This window comes from Homo sapiens, chromosome 8 (assembly GCF_000001405.40).
Source record: "Homo sapiens chromosome 8, GRCh38.p14 Primary Assembly".
In the NCBI taxonomy this organism is placed as follows: Eukaryota; Metazoa; Chordata; class Mammalia; order Primates; family Hominidae; genus Homo; species Homo sapiens.
This window is the reverse complement of record NC_000008.11, coordinates 15564722-15582629: the sequence shown is the minus strand read 5'-3', so window position 1 is coordinate 15582629 and position 17908 is coordinate 15564722. Positions and strand designations below refer to the sequence as shown.

Below are 17908 nucleotides of genomic sequence, written 5' to 3'. Positions count from 1 at the left end.
CTGTTTTAGCTGGGTGTGCCAAGATTGACCCAATTTGTATGATCAACTTTCACAATGTTATTTATAGGACCTTTAATGTTTAGTCTCTTTGAGCTTTAATTTTTAACTGCCATTTAAAATATAAACATAAATTTTTAGAAACTTATTAAGTGTTGATATTCAAAGTGGTCAAAATGTCCTTCATTATAGCATGAAGGTACGTATCTTCCATTTCCAATAACAGTAAAAAACAAATTCATAAAAGATTGGTTTAAGTCTCATCCTTCAAGTACCTCACTGTTTACACCTTCACAGAAAAAGCAGAGGAAGATGGCTGAACAGGAACAGCTCCGGTCTACAGCTCCCAGCGTGAGCGACCCAGAAGACGGGTGATTTCTGCATTTCCATCTGAGGTACCAGGTTTCTCTCACTAGGGAGTGCCAGACAGTGGGCGCAGGCCAGTGGGTGCGCGCACCATGCGCGAGCCGAAGCAGGGCGAGGCATTGCCTCACTTGGGAAGCGCAAGGGGTCAGGGAGTTCCCTTTCCGAGTCAAAGAAAGGGGTGACAGACGCACCTGGAAAATCGGGTCACTGCCACCCGAATATTGCGCTTTTCAGACCGGCTTAAAAAGCGGCGCACCACAAGATTATATCCCACACCTGGCTCAGAGGGTCCTACGCCCACGGAATCTCGCTGACTGCTAGCACAGCAGTCTGAGATCAAACTGCAAGGCGGCAGCGAGGCTGGGGGAGGGGCGCCCGCCATTGCCCAGGCTTGATTAGGTAAACGGGAAGCTCCAACTGGGTGGAGCCCACCACAGCTCAAGGAGGCCTGCCTGCCTCTGTAGGCTCCACCTCTGGGGGCAGGGCACAGACAAACAAAAAGACAGCAGTAACCTCTGCAGACTTAAGGGTCCCTGTCTGACAGCTTTGAAGAGAGCAGTGGTTCTCCCAGCACGCAGCTGGAGATCTGAGAACGGGCAGACTGCCTCCTCAAGTGGGTCCCTGACCCCTGACCCCCAAGCAGCCTAACTGGGAGGCACCCCGCAGCAGGGGCACACTGACACCTCACACTGCAGGGTATTCCAACAGACCTGCAGCTGAGGGTCCTGTCTGTTAGAAGGAAAACTAACAAACAGAAAGGACATCCACACCAAAAACCCATCTGTACATCACCATCATCAAAGACCAAAAGTAGATAAAACCACAAAGATGGGGAAAAAACAGAACTGAAAAACTGGAAACTCTAAAATGCAGAGCGCCTCTCCTCCTCCAAAGGAACGCAGTTCCTCACCAGCAACGGAACAAAGCTGGATGGAGAATGACTTTGACGAGCTGAGAGAAGAAGGCTTCAGACGATCAAATTACTCTCAGCTACGGGAGGACATTCAAACCAAAGGCAAAGAAGTTGAAAACTTTGAAAAAAATTTAGAAGAATGTATAACTAGAATAACCAATACAGAGAAGTGCTTAAAGGAGCTGATGGAGCTGAAAACCAAGGCTCGAGAACTACGTGAAGAATGCAGAAGCCTCAGGAGCCGATGCGATCAACTGGAAGAGAGGGTATCAGCGATGGAAGATGAAATGAATGAAATGAAGCGAGAAGGGAAGTTTAGAGAAAAAAGAATAAAAAGAAATGAGCAAAGCCTCCAAGAAATATGGGACTATGTGAAAAGACCAAATCTACGTCTGATTGGTGTACCTGAAAGTGATGGGGAGAATGGAACCAAGTTGGAAAACACTCTGCAGGATATTATCCAGGAGAACTTCCCCAATCTAGCAAGGCAGGCCAACGTTCAGATTAAGGAAATACAGGGAATGCCACAAAGATACTCCTCGAGAAGAGCAACTCCAAGACACATAATTGTCAGATTCACCAAAGTTGAAATGAAGGAAAAAATGTTAAGGGCAGCCAGAGAGAAAGGTCGGGTTACCCTCAAAGGGAAGCCCATCAGACTAACAGCGGATCTCTCAGCAGAAACCCTACAAGCCAGAAGAGAGTGGGGGCCAATATTCAACATTCTTAAAGAAAAGAATTTTCAACCCAGAATTTCATATCCAGCCAAACTAAGCTTCATAAGTGAAGGAGAAATAAAATACTTTACAGACAAGCAAATGCTGAGAGATTTTGTCACCACCAGGCCTGCCCTAAAAGAGCTCCTGAAGGAAGCACTAAACATGGAAAGGAACAACCGGTACCAGCCGCTGCAAAATCATGCCAAAATGTAAAGACCATCGAGACTAGGAAGAAACTGCATCAACTAACGAGCAAAATCACCAGCTAACATCATCATGACAGGATCAAATTCACACATAACAATATTAACTTTAAATGTAAATGGACTAAATGCTCCAATTAAAAGACACAGACTGGCAAATTGGATAAAGAGTCAAGACCCATCAGTGTGCTGTATTCAGGAAACCCATCTCACGTGCAGAGACACACATAGACTCAAAATAAAAGGATGGAGGAAGATCTACCAAGCAAATGGAAAACAAAAAAAGGCAGGGGTTGCAATCCTAGTCTCTGATAAAACAGACTTTAAACCAACAAAGATCAAAAGAGACAAAGAAGGCCATTACATAATGGTAAAGGGATCAATTCAACAAGAAGAGCTAACTATCCTAAATATATATGCACCCAATACAGGAGCACCAAGATTCATAAAGCAAGTCCTGAGTGACCTACAAAGAGACTTAGACTCCCACACATTAATAATGGGAGACTTTAACACCCCACTGTCAACATTAGACAAATCAACGAGACAGAAAGTCAACAAGGATACCCAGGAATTGAACTCAGCTCTGCACCAAGTGGACCTAATAGACATCTACAGAACTCTCCACCCCAAATCAACAGAATATACATTTTTTTCAGCACCACACCACACCTATTCCAAAATTGACCACATACTTGGAAGTAAAGCTCTCCTCAGCAAATGTAAAAGAACAGAAATTATAACAAACTATCTCTCAGACCACAGTGCAATCAAACTAGAACTCAGGATTAAGAATCTCACTCAAAGCCGCTCAACTACATGGAAACTGAACAACCTGCTCCTGAATGACTACTGGGTACATAACAAAATGAAGGCAGAAATAAAGATGTTCTTTGAAACCAACGAGAACAAAGACACAACATACCAGAATCTCTGGGACGCATTCAAAGCAGTGTGTAGAGGGAAATTTATAGCACTAAATGCCCACAAGAGAAAGCAGGAAAGATCCAAAATTGACACCCTAACATCACAATTAAAAGAACTAGAAAAGCAAGAGCAAACACATTCAAAAGATAGCAGAAGGCAAGAAATAACTAAAATCAGAGCAGAACTGAAGGAAATAGAGACACAAAAAACCCTTCAAAAAATCAATGAATCCAGGAGCTGGTTTTTTGAAAGGATCAACAAAATTGATAGACCACTAGCAAGACTAATAAAGAAAAAAAGAGAGAAGAATCAAATAGACACAATAAAAAATGATAAAGGGGATATCACCACCAATCCCACAGAAATACAAACTAATATCAGAGAATACTACAAACACCTCTACGCAAATAAACTAGAAAATCTAGAAGAAATGGATAAATTCCTCAACACATACACTCTCCCAAGACTAAACCAGGAAGAAGTTGAATCTCTGAATAGACCAATAACAGGAGCTGAAATTGTGGCAATAATCAATAGCTTACCAGCCAAAAAGAGTCCAGGACCAGATGGATTCACAGCTGAATTCTACCAGAGGTACAAGGAGGAACTGGTACCATTCCTTCTGAAACTATTCCAATCAATAGAAAAAGAGGGAATCCTCCCTAACTCATTTTATGAGGGCCAGCATCATTCTGATACCAAAGCCAGGCAGAGACACAACAAAAAAAGAGAATTTTAGACCAATATCCTTGATGAACATTGATGCAAAAATCCTCAATAAAATACTGGCAAAACGAATCCAGCAGCACTTCAAAAAGCTTATCCACCATGATCAAGTGGGCTTCATCCCTGGGACACAAGGCTGGTTCAATATACGCAAATCAATAAATGTAATCCAGCATATAAACAGAGCCAAAGACAAAAACCACATGATTATCTCAAGAGATGCAGAAAAAGCCTTTGACAAAATTCAACAACCCTTCATGCTAAAAACTCTCAATAAATTAGGTATTGATGGGACATATCTCAAAATAATAAGAGCTATCTATGACAAACCCACAGCCAATATCATACTGAATGGGCAAAAACTGGAAGCATTCCCTTTGAAAACTGGCACAAGACAGGGATGCCCTCTCTCACCACTCCTATTCAACATAGTGTTGGAAGTGCTGGCCAGGGCAATTAGGCAGGAGAAGGAAACAAAGGGTATTCAATTAGGAAAAGAGGAAGTCAAATTGTCCCTGTTTGCAGACGACATGATTGTATATCTAGAAAACCCCATTGTCTCAGCCCAAAATCTCCTTAAGCTGATAAGCAACTTCAGCAAAGTCTCAGGATACAAAATCAATGTACAAAAATCACAAGCATTCTTATACACCAACAACAGACAAACGGAGAGCCAAATCATGAGTGAACTCCCATTCACAATTGCTTCAAAGAGAAGAAAATACCTAGGAATCCAACTTACAAGGGATGTGAAGGACCTCTTCAAGGAGAACTACAAACCACTGCTCAAGGAAATAAAAGAGGATACAAACAAATGGAAGAACATTCCATGCTCATGGGTAGGAAGAATCAGTATCATAAAAATGGCCGTACTGCCCAAGGTAATTTACAGATTCAATGCCATCCCCATCAAGCTACCAATGACTTTCCTCACAGAATTGGAAAAAACTACTTTAAAGTTCATATGGAACCAAAAAAGAGCCCGCATCGCCAAGTCAATCCTAAGCCAAAAGAACAAAGCTGGAGGCATCACACTACCTGACTTCAAACTATACTACAAGGCTACAGTAACCAAAACAGCATGGTACTGGTACCAAAACAGAGATATAGATCAATGGAACAGAACAGAGCCCTCAGAAATAACACCGCATATCTACAACTATCTGATCTTTGACAAACCTGAGAAAAACAAGCAATGGGGAAAGGATTCCCTATTTAATAAATGGTGCTGGGAAAACTGGCTAGCCATATGTAGAAAGCTGAAACTGGATCCCTTCCTTACACCTTATACAAAAAACAATTCAAGATGGATTAAAGATTTAAACATTAGAGCTAAAACCATAAAAACCCTAGAAGAAAACCTAGGCATTTACCATTCAGGACATAGGCATGGGCAAGGACTTCATGTCCAAAACACCAAAAGCAATGGCAACAAAAGCCAAAATTGACAAATGGGATCTCATTAAACTCAAGAGCTTCTGCACAGCAAAAGAAACTACCATCAGAGTGAACAGGCAACCTACAAAATGGGAGAAAATTTTCGCAAGCTACTCATCTGACAAAGGGCTAATATCCAGAATCTACAATGAACTCAAACAAATTTACAAGAAAAAAACAAACAACCCCATCAAAAAGTGGGCAAAGGACATGAACAGACACTTCTCAAAAGAAGACATTTATGCAGCCAAGAAACACATGAAAAAATGCTCATCATCACTGGCCATCAGAGAAATGCAAATCAAAACCACAATGAGATACCATCTCACACCAGTTAGAATGGCAATCATTAAAAAGTCAGGAAACAACAGGTGCTGGAGAGGATGTGGAGAAACAGGAACACTTTTACACTGTTGGTGGGACTGTAAACTAGTTCAACCATTGTGGAAGTCAGTGTGGCGATTCCTCAGGGATCTAGAACTAGAAATACCATTTGACCCAGCCATCCCATTACTGGGTATATACCCAAATGACTATAAATCGTGCTGCTATAAAGACACATGCACACGTATGTTTATTGCGGCATTATTCACAATAGCAAAGACTTGGAACCAACCCAAATGTCCAACAATGATAGACTGGATTAAGAAAATGTGGCACATATACACCATGGAATACTATGCAGCCATAAAAAATGATGAGTTCGTGTCCTTTGTAGGGACATGGATGAAACTGGAAATCATCATTCTCAGTAAACTATCACAAGAACAAAAAACCAATCACGGCATATTCTCACTCATAGGTGGGGACTGAACAATGAGATCACATGGACACAGGAAGGGGAATATCACACTCTGGGGACTGTGGTGGGGTGGGGGGAGGGGGGGAGGGATAGCATTGGGAGATATACCTAATGCTAGATGACTAGTTAGTGGGTGCAGCGCACCAGCATGGCACATGTATACATATGTAACTAACCTGCACAATGTGCACATGTACCCTAAAACTTAAAGTATAATAAAAAATAAATAAATAAAAAAATAAAAAAATAAAAAAAAAAAACAAGAGGACCAAGAAAAAAAAAAAAAGAAAGAAAAAGCAGAGGATTCTTAATTACCTACCAAAAGAAAACCAGTTCATCAACTAGTGAACTAATAATTCAGTCTCTCATAAACAAGCAAGAATTCTGCACACATCATTCAAAAACTCTGATTCATTGCTTTAACAAGAGATCATTAATTAGAAAAATTAAAATGGAAACTTTAGTAATAGGTTCAAATTAAGAAATTTCATCATAACTTCTAAATTTCAAAAGGAAAAAGCTGAAATCAGTTTCAAAATGTGAAACAGTTATATTACTCAGTTATTATATCAATTCACAATATATTATTGAATATATAAACCATAAATTTGATTATACCTTTATAACACTTTCCCCAATGTAAAATTCATTTCAATCTTGGGCATGGAAGCAATTTTTAAAGCCTAAACATGTATAATTTCCACAAAAAAATGATATAAACTATGTATAATATTTGCAAAAGTACATCTCAGAAGAATTTATTTATTTATTTTAAGGCAGAGTCTCACTCTGTCACCCAAGCTGGAGTGCAGTGGAACAATCTCAGCTGACTGCAACCTCCACCTCCTGGGTTCAAGTGATTCTCCTGCCTCAGCTTCCGGAGTACCTGGCATTATAGATGCCCGCCACCATTCTCAATTAATTTTTTTATTTTAAATAGAGACGGGTTTTCACCATGTTGGCCAGGCTGATCTCAAACTCCTGACCTCAGGTGATCTGCCTAACCTCGGCCTCCCAATGTGCTGGGATTACAGGCGTGAGCCACCATACCCAGCCCTCAGAAGAATTTTTGAAATAAAATATATATTATCCTCTTACAATGAAGCAATGAATGTACACACATATGTTAGATATTTAGTTTAATATTTAAATTAGTTGCCACATAAAAATTCCATTTGACTTGAAAAATATATTTGAATATCATTGCAAAATAAAATCAAATAATTCTCACTGAGGAATCTTAATACAACACATTGGCTACATGACAAAGCAGTCTTAGTCCTTTTAAAACAAAGTGTTAAAAATCAAGTACACAAAATCCACTTTAATTCCTATTAATTCCAAACATAAAGTAGTATAGGTTTATATGCAAAAAAAATACATCTATCGCAAAATTATTCAGTTCATAATGTCCCATAAAATGTGCATTTTACATGACAATCTAATAATATTTTTTAAACCATTAATTGCTACGGATAAGTTTATAGTCAGTATAAAAATTTTCTAAATACTTCAAGAAATAAAAATGAAGCACAGCAGAAAAAGAACCACCCCAAAGTTAAACTCTCTATTCTCCTTCAAAATAACCTTAAAATACAATAACACTAGAATAGTTAGTTTCACAGCAGGAGACACTCCTTATAATTGAAAGTATAAAGTTGAATATGTTTATTAGGTTCTAACTGGCTGATTGCTCTAAATGTTTTCCAAGTGATTTACACCTGGATAAAAACCCATTTGAACATAAAGAGTAACATCTAGCTTAAAATAATGTTTCATTGATCCATTTCTCTGTAGAGAAAATTTCTCTCAAATTCTCAAAAGAAAATGAAAAAATGTTAGCTATCAAATAAAAGCTAGCTCTCATGGAAGCAACTATGGGTCAAAACCCTAAAAGTAAGCTTTGTGAGACAGTTATCAGAAAAATTACCAACTTATAAATTACTCTCAAGGGGTGAAGAGGCAGCTGAATGCTTTACTAAATAATATCTATTGTCCAGACCCACCCTAACCTAACGATTAAAAATAGAAAACAATCTTCCAGTTACAGGAAAGGGCCTAAGCAAAAGAGAGAGTCTGAGGAACACTGTTTTAGGGAATAAATGAGAGCAGAATGACAACAAAACATGTAATAAGAATGTAAGTTGACCACTAAAATATAATGCCTCTTGACAACTCCATAATCTGTACAACTTACCCATACTCATCATATTTATTTATAATTGTATATTTTTGGTAGCAACGATGAAGAATGCAAAAGGTGGAGTCTCTATAGATTAAGACAAAGAGAGAGAAGGAGAAACGCAAGAGGAAGGGTGGGAGTAAGGAATTAGGGAGATACTATAAATTACTGAGGGCACTCACTGTGCACAAAACACTAACAGGTGACTGTGAAATGGATTGACAATTGAATGCCAGTGAGCTTCCCTTGACGGTGAATGCTGAACTTCTCTTGTTAGGTCCATCCAAGACAATAAAGGATTCAAACAAAAAAGTCTGGAATAACTTCCAGGAACAAAACATCACCAAAAAATGGTATGGAAGTGCCTAAAATTACCTAAGAAAAGGACTGGTTTAGTCAGCTTCTTCATTCTCTACCATCTACTGGGAAGAAGATAATATTCTCTCCCCCTCCTATCACCCCCCATATTTGGAACTGTCAGGAAAGTTGCAATATGACATGTTCTGACGAAACAATTCTCCATGACATTTCTGCACAGTTTTCTTCCAAAGTATGTTTAGATGATGTTAGCATTAAAAAAAATCAGCCTTCAGAAGCAGGGCTTCCCTGAGGCAGAAGACAGATTTGTTTTGTTTCCTCACCAGAATAATAAAGCTGTATCTCCTGCAGGGCAAAATTAGAGGTTTGCTAGCAGCCCCTTTAAAAGTCTGAGGGTTCATAAACAACTTCCTCAGCTGTGACACCAACCCACTGAGTTAAAGCATCCACCAGCGGCTCCCTCTGCATTGCCCTCAAGGGATGAGGGGGGAAGGAGAGACCATCTGAACCCAAGCCAGCTAGGTTCAGGTTCAGCTAACTACTGTGCTCTGAAATATAAACCCACTGGGCTCCTTCTATCTTCAGCAGCACAATCTACGGAAGTGTGGCAAGCCAACCTAGCCATTCCCACCGCCACGCTATTGTGTAGGAACAGCTTAACTGCCTGACACAAACAAGCCCAGTAAGGTTAAAACTGGTAATTACCCTGGATGTGGATTGGAAGGCAGCTCTGACTCCCTTTCTCAAACAGAATAATCCTAGGCCTCCCAGGAGTGACTTGATGGTATGCCCAAAAAAAAAAAAACTTTTATATATATATATATATATATATATATAGAGAGAGAGAGAGAGAGAGAGAGAGAGAGAGAGAAAGAGAGAGAACACTATACTGAAGCAATAGTTAAGCAAACATACTTCCTTTTATTGTGCTTTGCTTAACTGCGCTTCACAGATAAGGCATTTTTTACAAATTGAAGGTTGATGGCAACTCTCCATTAAGCAACTCTATGGGTGTCATTTTTCCCACAGCATGTGCTCAGTCAGTGTCTATGTCACATTCTGGTAACTCTCCCAATATTTCAAACTTCTTCATTATTATTATTTGTTATGGAAATCTGTGACCAGTGATCTTTGATGTCACTTTTGTGATTGTTTTGGGGCACCACAAATGGTGCCCGTAAAACATGGCAAATTTAATCGATAAATGTCATGTGTATTCAGACTGCTCCACCAACCACCCATTCCCCACCTCCACTCTTCTCACACGTTCCTATTGCCTAAAGCATAAAAACATTGAAATTAGGCCAATGAATAACCCAACAATGACCTCTAGGTGTTCAAGTGAAATGCAGAGTCACATGTCTCTCACTTTAAATCAAAAGCTAAAAATGATTAAACTTAGTGAGGAAGGCATGTGGAAAGCTCAGATAGGCCAAAAGCTACACCTCTTGCACCGAACAGTTAGACAAGTTGTTAATGCAAATGCAATGTTTTCAAGGAAATTTAAAGTGCTACTCCAGTGAACACATCAATGGTAAGAAAGCAAAACAGCCTTATTGCTGATACAGAGAAAGTTTAAATAGTTTGGATAGATCAAATCAGTAACAACATCCCCTTAAACCAAGCCTAATTCAGAACAAGGCCCTAAGTCTCTTCAATCCAATGAAGGCTGAAACAGGAAAGGAAGCTACAGAAGAAAAATTTAAAGCTGGCAGAGGTTGGTTCATGAGGTTTAAAGAAAGAAGCCATTTCCATAACATAAAAGTCCAAGATGAAGCAGCAAGTGTTTATGCTGCAAGAAGCTGCAGCAAATTACCCAGATTTAGCTAGCATAATTGATGGAGACGGGTATACTAAACAACGGATGTTCAGAGTAGACTAAACATCCTTCTACTGGAAGGCGATGCCATGGCTAGAGAGAAGTCGATGCCTGGTTTGAAAGGACAGGCTGAATCTCTTGGTAGGGGCTAATGCAGCTGGTGACTTAAAGTTGAAGCCAACGTTCATTTACCATTCCGAAAAGCCTAAGGTCCAGCGCAATTAAGCTAAATCTATTGTGCCTGTGCTCTATAAATGGAACAAGAAAGCCTGGATGAAAAACAGCACCTATGTTTAAAGCACAGTTTACTGAATATTTGAAGCCCAGTATTAAGACCTACTGCTCAGAAAAAAAAGATTCCTCTCAATATATTACAGCTCACAGCCAAAGCACCTGGTCACTCAAAAGCTCTGATGGAGAAAGAACGCTGCATAAACTTAGTTGATAGAGCAGTGGCAGGGTTTGAGAGGACAGACTCCAATTTTGCAAAAAGTCAGACTATGGGTAAAATTCTATCAAACAGCATTCCATGCAACAGAGGAATCTTTCATGAAATAAAGAGGGAATCAATGTGGCCAACTTAATTTCTTAAGAAGTTGCCAGCTGCTCCCACCATCAGCAGCCAGTACCCTTATTGGTCAGTAGCCATCAACAAGAAGCAAAACCCTCCACCAGCAAAAGGATTATAACTCACTGAAGGCTCAGAAGATCATATTTTTTAAGCAATATAGCATTTTTAAATTAAGGTATATATACTTTTCTTTTAGACAGAGTGCTATTGCACATTTAATAGACAACAATACAGTGTAAACCTAACTTCTAAATGCACTGAGAAACCAAAAAACTTGCTAACTCTTTATTGTAATATTTGCTTTATTATAGTGGTCTGGCACCAAGCCCATGTCTCAAAGTTACACCTGTATTCAATTGAAAGTATAAAACAATTTCATTAAAAAAAATTAATAGCGGTGGGTAGCAGCGGCTCACGCCTGTAATCCCAACACTTTGGGAGGCCGAGGCAGGTGGATCCCCTGAAGTCAGGAGTTCGAGACCAGCCTGGCCAACAGGGTGAAACCCCATCTCTACTAAAAATACAAAAACTAGTCAGGTGTGGTGGCAGGCACCTATAATCCCAGCTACTCTGGCTGGGGCAGGAGAATCCCTTGAACCTAGGAGGTAGAGGTTGCAGTGAGCCAAGATCATATCACTGCACTTCAGCCTGGGTGACACAGCAAGACTCAATCTCAAAAAAAAAAAAAAAAAAAACTAATAGGCAATGGAATAGAAAGCAAAGTTTGCAAAATGTTTTAATATATATAAGATCAAATATATATTTTGAACAATCCGGCAGCTTCATGCTGCACTTCCACATCCCCAGAGGTATGCATTCACTCTCTTCTTTCAGTATGAGAAGCACTGATAAAAGAGTACTTAAATCAGAAGAACAGCTTTGAAGTCAGTTCTGCATTTGAATACTGGCCCAATTACAAGTTGCATGATTCCAGGCAAATTACTTCAACTCTTGAAGTTCACCTATACAATAAAATCATGCTAAGCTTGTGATGATGCTTAAATGAAATAATACATGTAAAATAGTTAGCAAATATTAAATAAATGGTAGTTATCATTAGTTCAACTACATTGAAATGTAACAACAAAATATAAATCGTAGCATCCGCTTAATTAAATCCAAACAATCACATGTTTTTAAAGTCATTTCCAATTTCTTCTTCCAAGCTCTTTTGATTCACACAGGGAAAAAAATGACATAGGCCTCTATCTGAATTTATGTAGCTTCATATGCTATAAATACAGTTGCAACTTATTTCAAACCAAAGAATACAATCTTTCAACCAATTTCCAGCAAGCAACATTAGAAAACTTAGTCAACATTCAATTAGATGTGTTTCAGTAAGAGTGTGTGTGTGTGTGTGTGTGTGTGTGTGTGTGTGTGTAAAATACATTATAAAACAAGGTTGCTTTAACACTGGAAAAAGATGTGGAGTGTTTTGTGAAATAAATTACTCTGCACAGATGACATATAACATGCAAAATCAGAACTTCCCTACAATGAGAAAGTAGTCAAGAATTTATAATGCGATGGACAAGCTATAACCAAGAGTAGTAATAATGTGGGAATCTTTTATAAACCTGAAGGTTTTATTTGAGCAAAATTTTCCATCAATATATATAGGATCCAAAATTATTTATAATGGATACAAATAAACCTATTTATTTTTAAAGAAAATGAATTGCCTCTTAAGCGATGAAGTGACTGAAGCAGTATGACAAAATTTTAAATGCTGAATTTAAAAATTAGAGAAATAAGCAGCACTAAAGCCACCAAAGCAACATGTTAAACCTTTGGTCCGCACTAAATGGATTACAAATCATACACAAGAGTGTGACACGGTATTTGAATACAAACAGACAAGGAAGAAAAATTTTCAACTGAGATTCCTAAAAATTATGCTAATCAACAAAAATGCATCAAACACTATGTATCCATTTTCAAACCGTCTACCCTACCTCTAACTCACGTAACGAGATGTCCCCGTTAGCCCAGGGAAAGTCCCAGTTTACTCCTGTCATCTCAGCAAAATTATTAATTGCACTTTATTTCTCTCCCACATGTCCTGGTTTGAATCATAAATTATTTACTCACGCTCCTTCTAAATACCTGGCTCCTTCTGGCCATAAGCTATTATCTTTGCCCAGATCCAGATGTCAGGATAATTACACATATATTCCAAGGCAAGTTAAATAAACTTTGTGTGTGTATATAGTTTCATTATCATGATGCTGTAATTTTTTATCTCAAATTCACGAGGAAACTCTCTGATTATCACCTCAATTCATCTATATTTATGGAGTATATATTTTCCATGAAAATAAACTGCCCATGTATTTTCCAGCAAGTAGCAAGAAAAACTATATAGAGATATAGACGCAGAACAGTGCAATGGAAGAATGACTAAAAGAATTTAGTAGCTTATCTATCTTACAGTACTTGGTATGCCAAATGCAGAAGCAGATGGGACAAAAACATTTCAACAATTATAAGACTATAAATAAACATTTCGCATGGTACTCTTAATCATACAGTAATAAAGGAAACTGTTACTGATTTTTTATAATTTTCAAAATTTGATCATTTAATATATAACAAGCCGCACAATAATGACTTAGCAAAACTATCTAATGTAAATCAGGTCTACTTGGCAATATTTACTAAACAAAATAGTTATTTCCTCCTGAATGACTAAAGAAAGTAGTCAACCAATGTGCCTTGCCAGAAAACCATGAGGTTAAAGCTTAGAATGAAATATGAGGAAAAAAAAATAAATGATAATGTAATCTCCAAGTACCAAAAATGGAAAAAAGTGTGAAAATACATGACAAAGTTTTACACAAATATACCAATAAGAATTTACATTTTTTTTTTACAAAAATTAGCCATGTGTGGTGGCAGGCACCTTAATCCCAGCTACTTGGGAGGCTGAGGCAGGAGAATCAGTTGAACCTGGCAGATGGAAGTTGCAGTGCGCTAAGATTATACCACTGCACTGCAGCCTAGGCGATAAAGCAAGACTCCACAGGAAAAAAAAAAAAAAAGAATTTGTGTATTTTTAATTTCTGTATTATCTTCTTAATGAAAGCTGAAAGAAGTTATAAATGTCTTTCATGTTTATCAAAACATCTTAAATCACAAATGACATAAGCCTAATTCAATCTAGTTTAGGCAAAATGGACTTTATAAGTTCATATAGTAATAAGGTATGAAGATAAATTTGGTTTCAGGAATGACCAGATATGAGAACTTAACTGGTATTGTCAGTACTCCCTCTAGCTATAGAAGCTCCCTGAGGGCAACAATTTTTATACATTTTGTTTATTTCTGCATTGATGGCACCCAGAACAAGGACTGGCACAGAGCTAGTGCTTAAATCTTTATGGAATAAATGAATGCCTCTTCTCTTTGTGTTTTTTGCTTAGCATCTGCACACCACACTTTTTCGTGCCCAAGTGAGAGACAAACGAAAAGCACATCCTTCCAATTTCACAGGCCAATGAGCAAGGTAATCATTCTGCTAGTTCCATTTGGACAAATCTCAGAGAATGGCTCTAGTCACTTTCCCAACCTTGTGCCAATCGTGACAAGAGGAATGAGTAATATGTGTAGCCTTGCCTGATAATATGCTACCAATGTGGCCATAGAAAAGGGGGTTGTTAACATGAAAACAAAGAGGAGAAAAAGGAGTGGAGGCCTACAGAGGACAAAAATAAGGAGTACCACACATTACTCAATGTGTCTTTCATTACCAACAACCCAAATGCAAACATGGCATTCATCTTAGTAATTTTTTAGTGCTTTTTAGTTCGGCATATGCCACAGGAGATAGTCCTTAGCTAAGTATTCAAAATGTGCACACAATAACCACAAAATTTTGTAGAGAGGCAAAAACCATTTGTTACATTCCAACCACTTACAAAAGTTGTCCCTATGTAGACATCCATCCTCATTTCACCCTAGTATCTATCCCAACCCATCATGTCACATTATTTTTTGCTCACTCTCATGCTTGACTGCAATCTTACATATGACAAAGGATTTCATCAAGTTGATATTTAAAAAGCGATACAAGAGAGCTACTCAGGTTTATATGCAAAGCCATTGACAATTGAAGACCTGTCAGGATTATGATACTTAACTATTTAAGAGGAATCTTAAGTATGTGAAAATGTTTGCTACTATTTTAAATGTTAAATAAGTAAGTACCTACTCTGGGCAAGTTTCCATGGATGATTTGAAGATATATAATGCAAAGGATCTTATGCTAATATTTGATGAGAAAACGTTTTAAACTACTGTGCTAGAACCAAGACAGTGATTAATGTTTGGTGGCTAAGTAAAGAAACAGTAAGTTAGGAAGAACTTTTTGTTAATTGAAAAAATACTAACTTCAGTGTTCTTCTGAAAATAATGCTTCCACTTCCCCACTGCCCCGAAATGTTTTTCAGTTCCTTCATTAAAAGGAATGATAAAATGTCAGAGTTCAAAGAATCTTGGATCTGGCTCAAGTCTAATTCTTAACTGCCGAAAGTACTGTGACCCAGAAAGATATGGTGGCTTAACCAAGATCACTAAGTTAAAAGAGCCATGACTAGAATTTGTTGCACATTCCCAATTTGCCATTATCTTAGCCAAGAGCACATAGTATAAAAGCCCCTCCTGGTGGTTATCACTAAGTGAAGACCAAAATATGACTCATGTTACAACCTGTAAGAATATGTGTTGGCCGGGCAAACCTACAATCCCAATGGTTTGGGAGGCCGAAGCCGCAGGATAACTGGATCCCAGAAATTTAAGAGCAGCCTGGGAAACATGGTAAAATCCTGTCTCTACAAACACAAACACATACACACAAATTAACCAGTCATGATGACACGTGCCTATAATCCCAGCTACTTAGGAGACTAACGCGGGAGGATTGCTTGAGCCTAGGAGGTTGGTTGTGGCTGTCGTGAGCTGTGATTGTGCCAGTGTACTCCAGTCTGAGCAACAGAGCAAGACCCTGTCTCAAAAAAAAAACAACAACAACAACAACAACAAAAAAATGTGTCTTCTGTGAAGTCGGATAAACAAGTACATATACCTCCTCTGAGGAATATATGATGAAAAAAGTGGTAAACTTTTTTCCTTATCAGTTGTTGTGGTCCAGCTCTTTCCTTTAGCAGCTGTTACCATGTGACAAAAATCTTTAAACTTAGGCCCCCTCATCTTAAAATGGTAACAATAGCACATGTTCAAAATAATCCTATGAGGAATAATAAAATGATTTAAAGTTGTTTTCCTCAAAACGCCAACCACTAAAATCCGTTTCTGAGCTCCAGGAAAAAATTAATAAAGCTGATGATGAACATACACTGACAATAAAACTGCTGCATCTTATATAAGAGGGAACATACTACTAAAGAATGGCTTCTGAATTCTATGTTTTAGTCTAGTCATGGCAAAAGATATATTACATGAATCACTGCTGTAAATATGGAAACTGTAGCATCTTCTGATAACGTTGTCTAGAGAAGACACTGAGAATGCATACCAGTAAGTTAGTTCAGGGGCTGAGTGGCTTTGTTAACAAACGATGGACAGAAAAAACAAGGAAAATGTACTACTCTGAATCAGGTGTGTTTAAATACATCATAAGCGATGATATTTGTTTTGGTATTTAGTTTTTAATAAGTCATCTTTATTAGTAAGAATGAATTAAGCTATAGAAAGTTTTGTAGTACCAGACAGACCCCAAAATTTTAGTGGCTTACATCCATATAATAGTACAGAGCCAAATTCAGGAGATTAAGGAGACTGTACCACACAGTCATCCACACCTAGGCTGATGGCTGCTCTGCCATCCGCAACACATGGCTTTCCAGGTCCCTCTTTACATTCTCAACCTAGTTATAGGGAAAGAGCTTTGTATCAGACTTCAGTCAGGAAAACAGAAACCACTGCATGTGTTCCAAGCATGAAAGTATTTAATACAGAGAATCAGATGAAGCTTAAAACACCACTGGGGAAGGACAAAAGAAACAAAGTTAAAGAAAACAGATACAATCTCTGCCTATAGCTCCAAAGCAGAAGATTCTCAAGAGCCTGGTGAATTTCTACACCTGGAGTGTATGAATGTCTTGAAAGCTTCCACCAACTATCTTGGTCTGCAACAGCTAAGCAGGTAGCTGTGGGAGTCTGAAAAGTGGGACCTTCCCAACCCACCAAAGATGTCCATGTTCTAATTCCAAGAAACAGGTTAATTGTTACCTTACCTGACACAAGATGTGACTAAACAAATGATCCTGAAATGGGAAGAGATTATCCTATATTAGCCAGGTAGATCCAAAATAGTAAGGGTCTCTGTAACAGGAAGGCAAGAAAATCAGAGTCAGTTTTTCAGATGTGGGAATGGAAGTCAGAGACTGGAATGATGCCAAGTAAGAAATAATGAGGAATGCCAGCAGCCTCTAGAAACTGCAAAAGACAAAAAAAAAAAAAGGCTCCCCTCAACGCTTCCAGCAGGAAACAAACCTGCAGACACCTTGACTTTAGCCCAGTGAGACTGACTTGGACATCCCACCTCCAGAACTGTAAGATAATCGATTGCTGTTGTTTTAAGCCTCTAAATTTGTGATAATTTGTTACAGCAACAATACAAAATGCATACAATGGTCATCCTGGACTTCCCTGAACAATGCTTCAAACCTCATATCTGCCCATGAATCTGCCTCAGCTCTCTGTAAAGAACAGTGGCCTCTCTCCTTCTCTTCTATCTTCCAAATCTCAGGGACACACTAACACAGAACCACACGGGGAAGCTTGTGATGCAAACAAGATGAGTCCTTAGAACAGGGTGGGAGTGGACACTCCAGCACAAGCGTGGGGAAATCTTGATGGGTCAAGCTGCAGACGACACAGATCACCTCTGTTTACACTCCATCGC

General features: G+C 38.5%; 1 protein-coding gene across 32 annotated transcripts in view, besides 1 other annotated feature; it reads right to left on the bottom strand.

Annotated features, from left to right (window-relative positions):
- The window catches only part of TUSC3 (tumor suppressor candidate 3), a 434904-nt gene that overhangs the window by 269462 nt on the left and 147534 nt on the right, over window positions 1–17908 (bottom strand). The window lies entirely within an intron of this gene.
- Window positions 11616–12158: an enhancer, noted in NCBI's record as "NANOG hESC enhancer chr8:15427981-15428523 (GRCh37/hg19 assembly coordinates)". NCBI's record gives its function as "activates a minimal SCP1, AML or CMV promoter by ChIP-STARR-seq in naive H9 embryonic stem cells {active_cell/tissue: H9 hESC(naive)}" and the evidence as "EXISTENCE:reporter gene assay evidence [ECO:0000049][PMID:30033119]".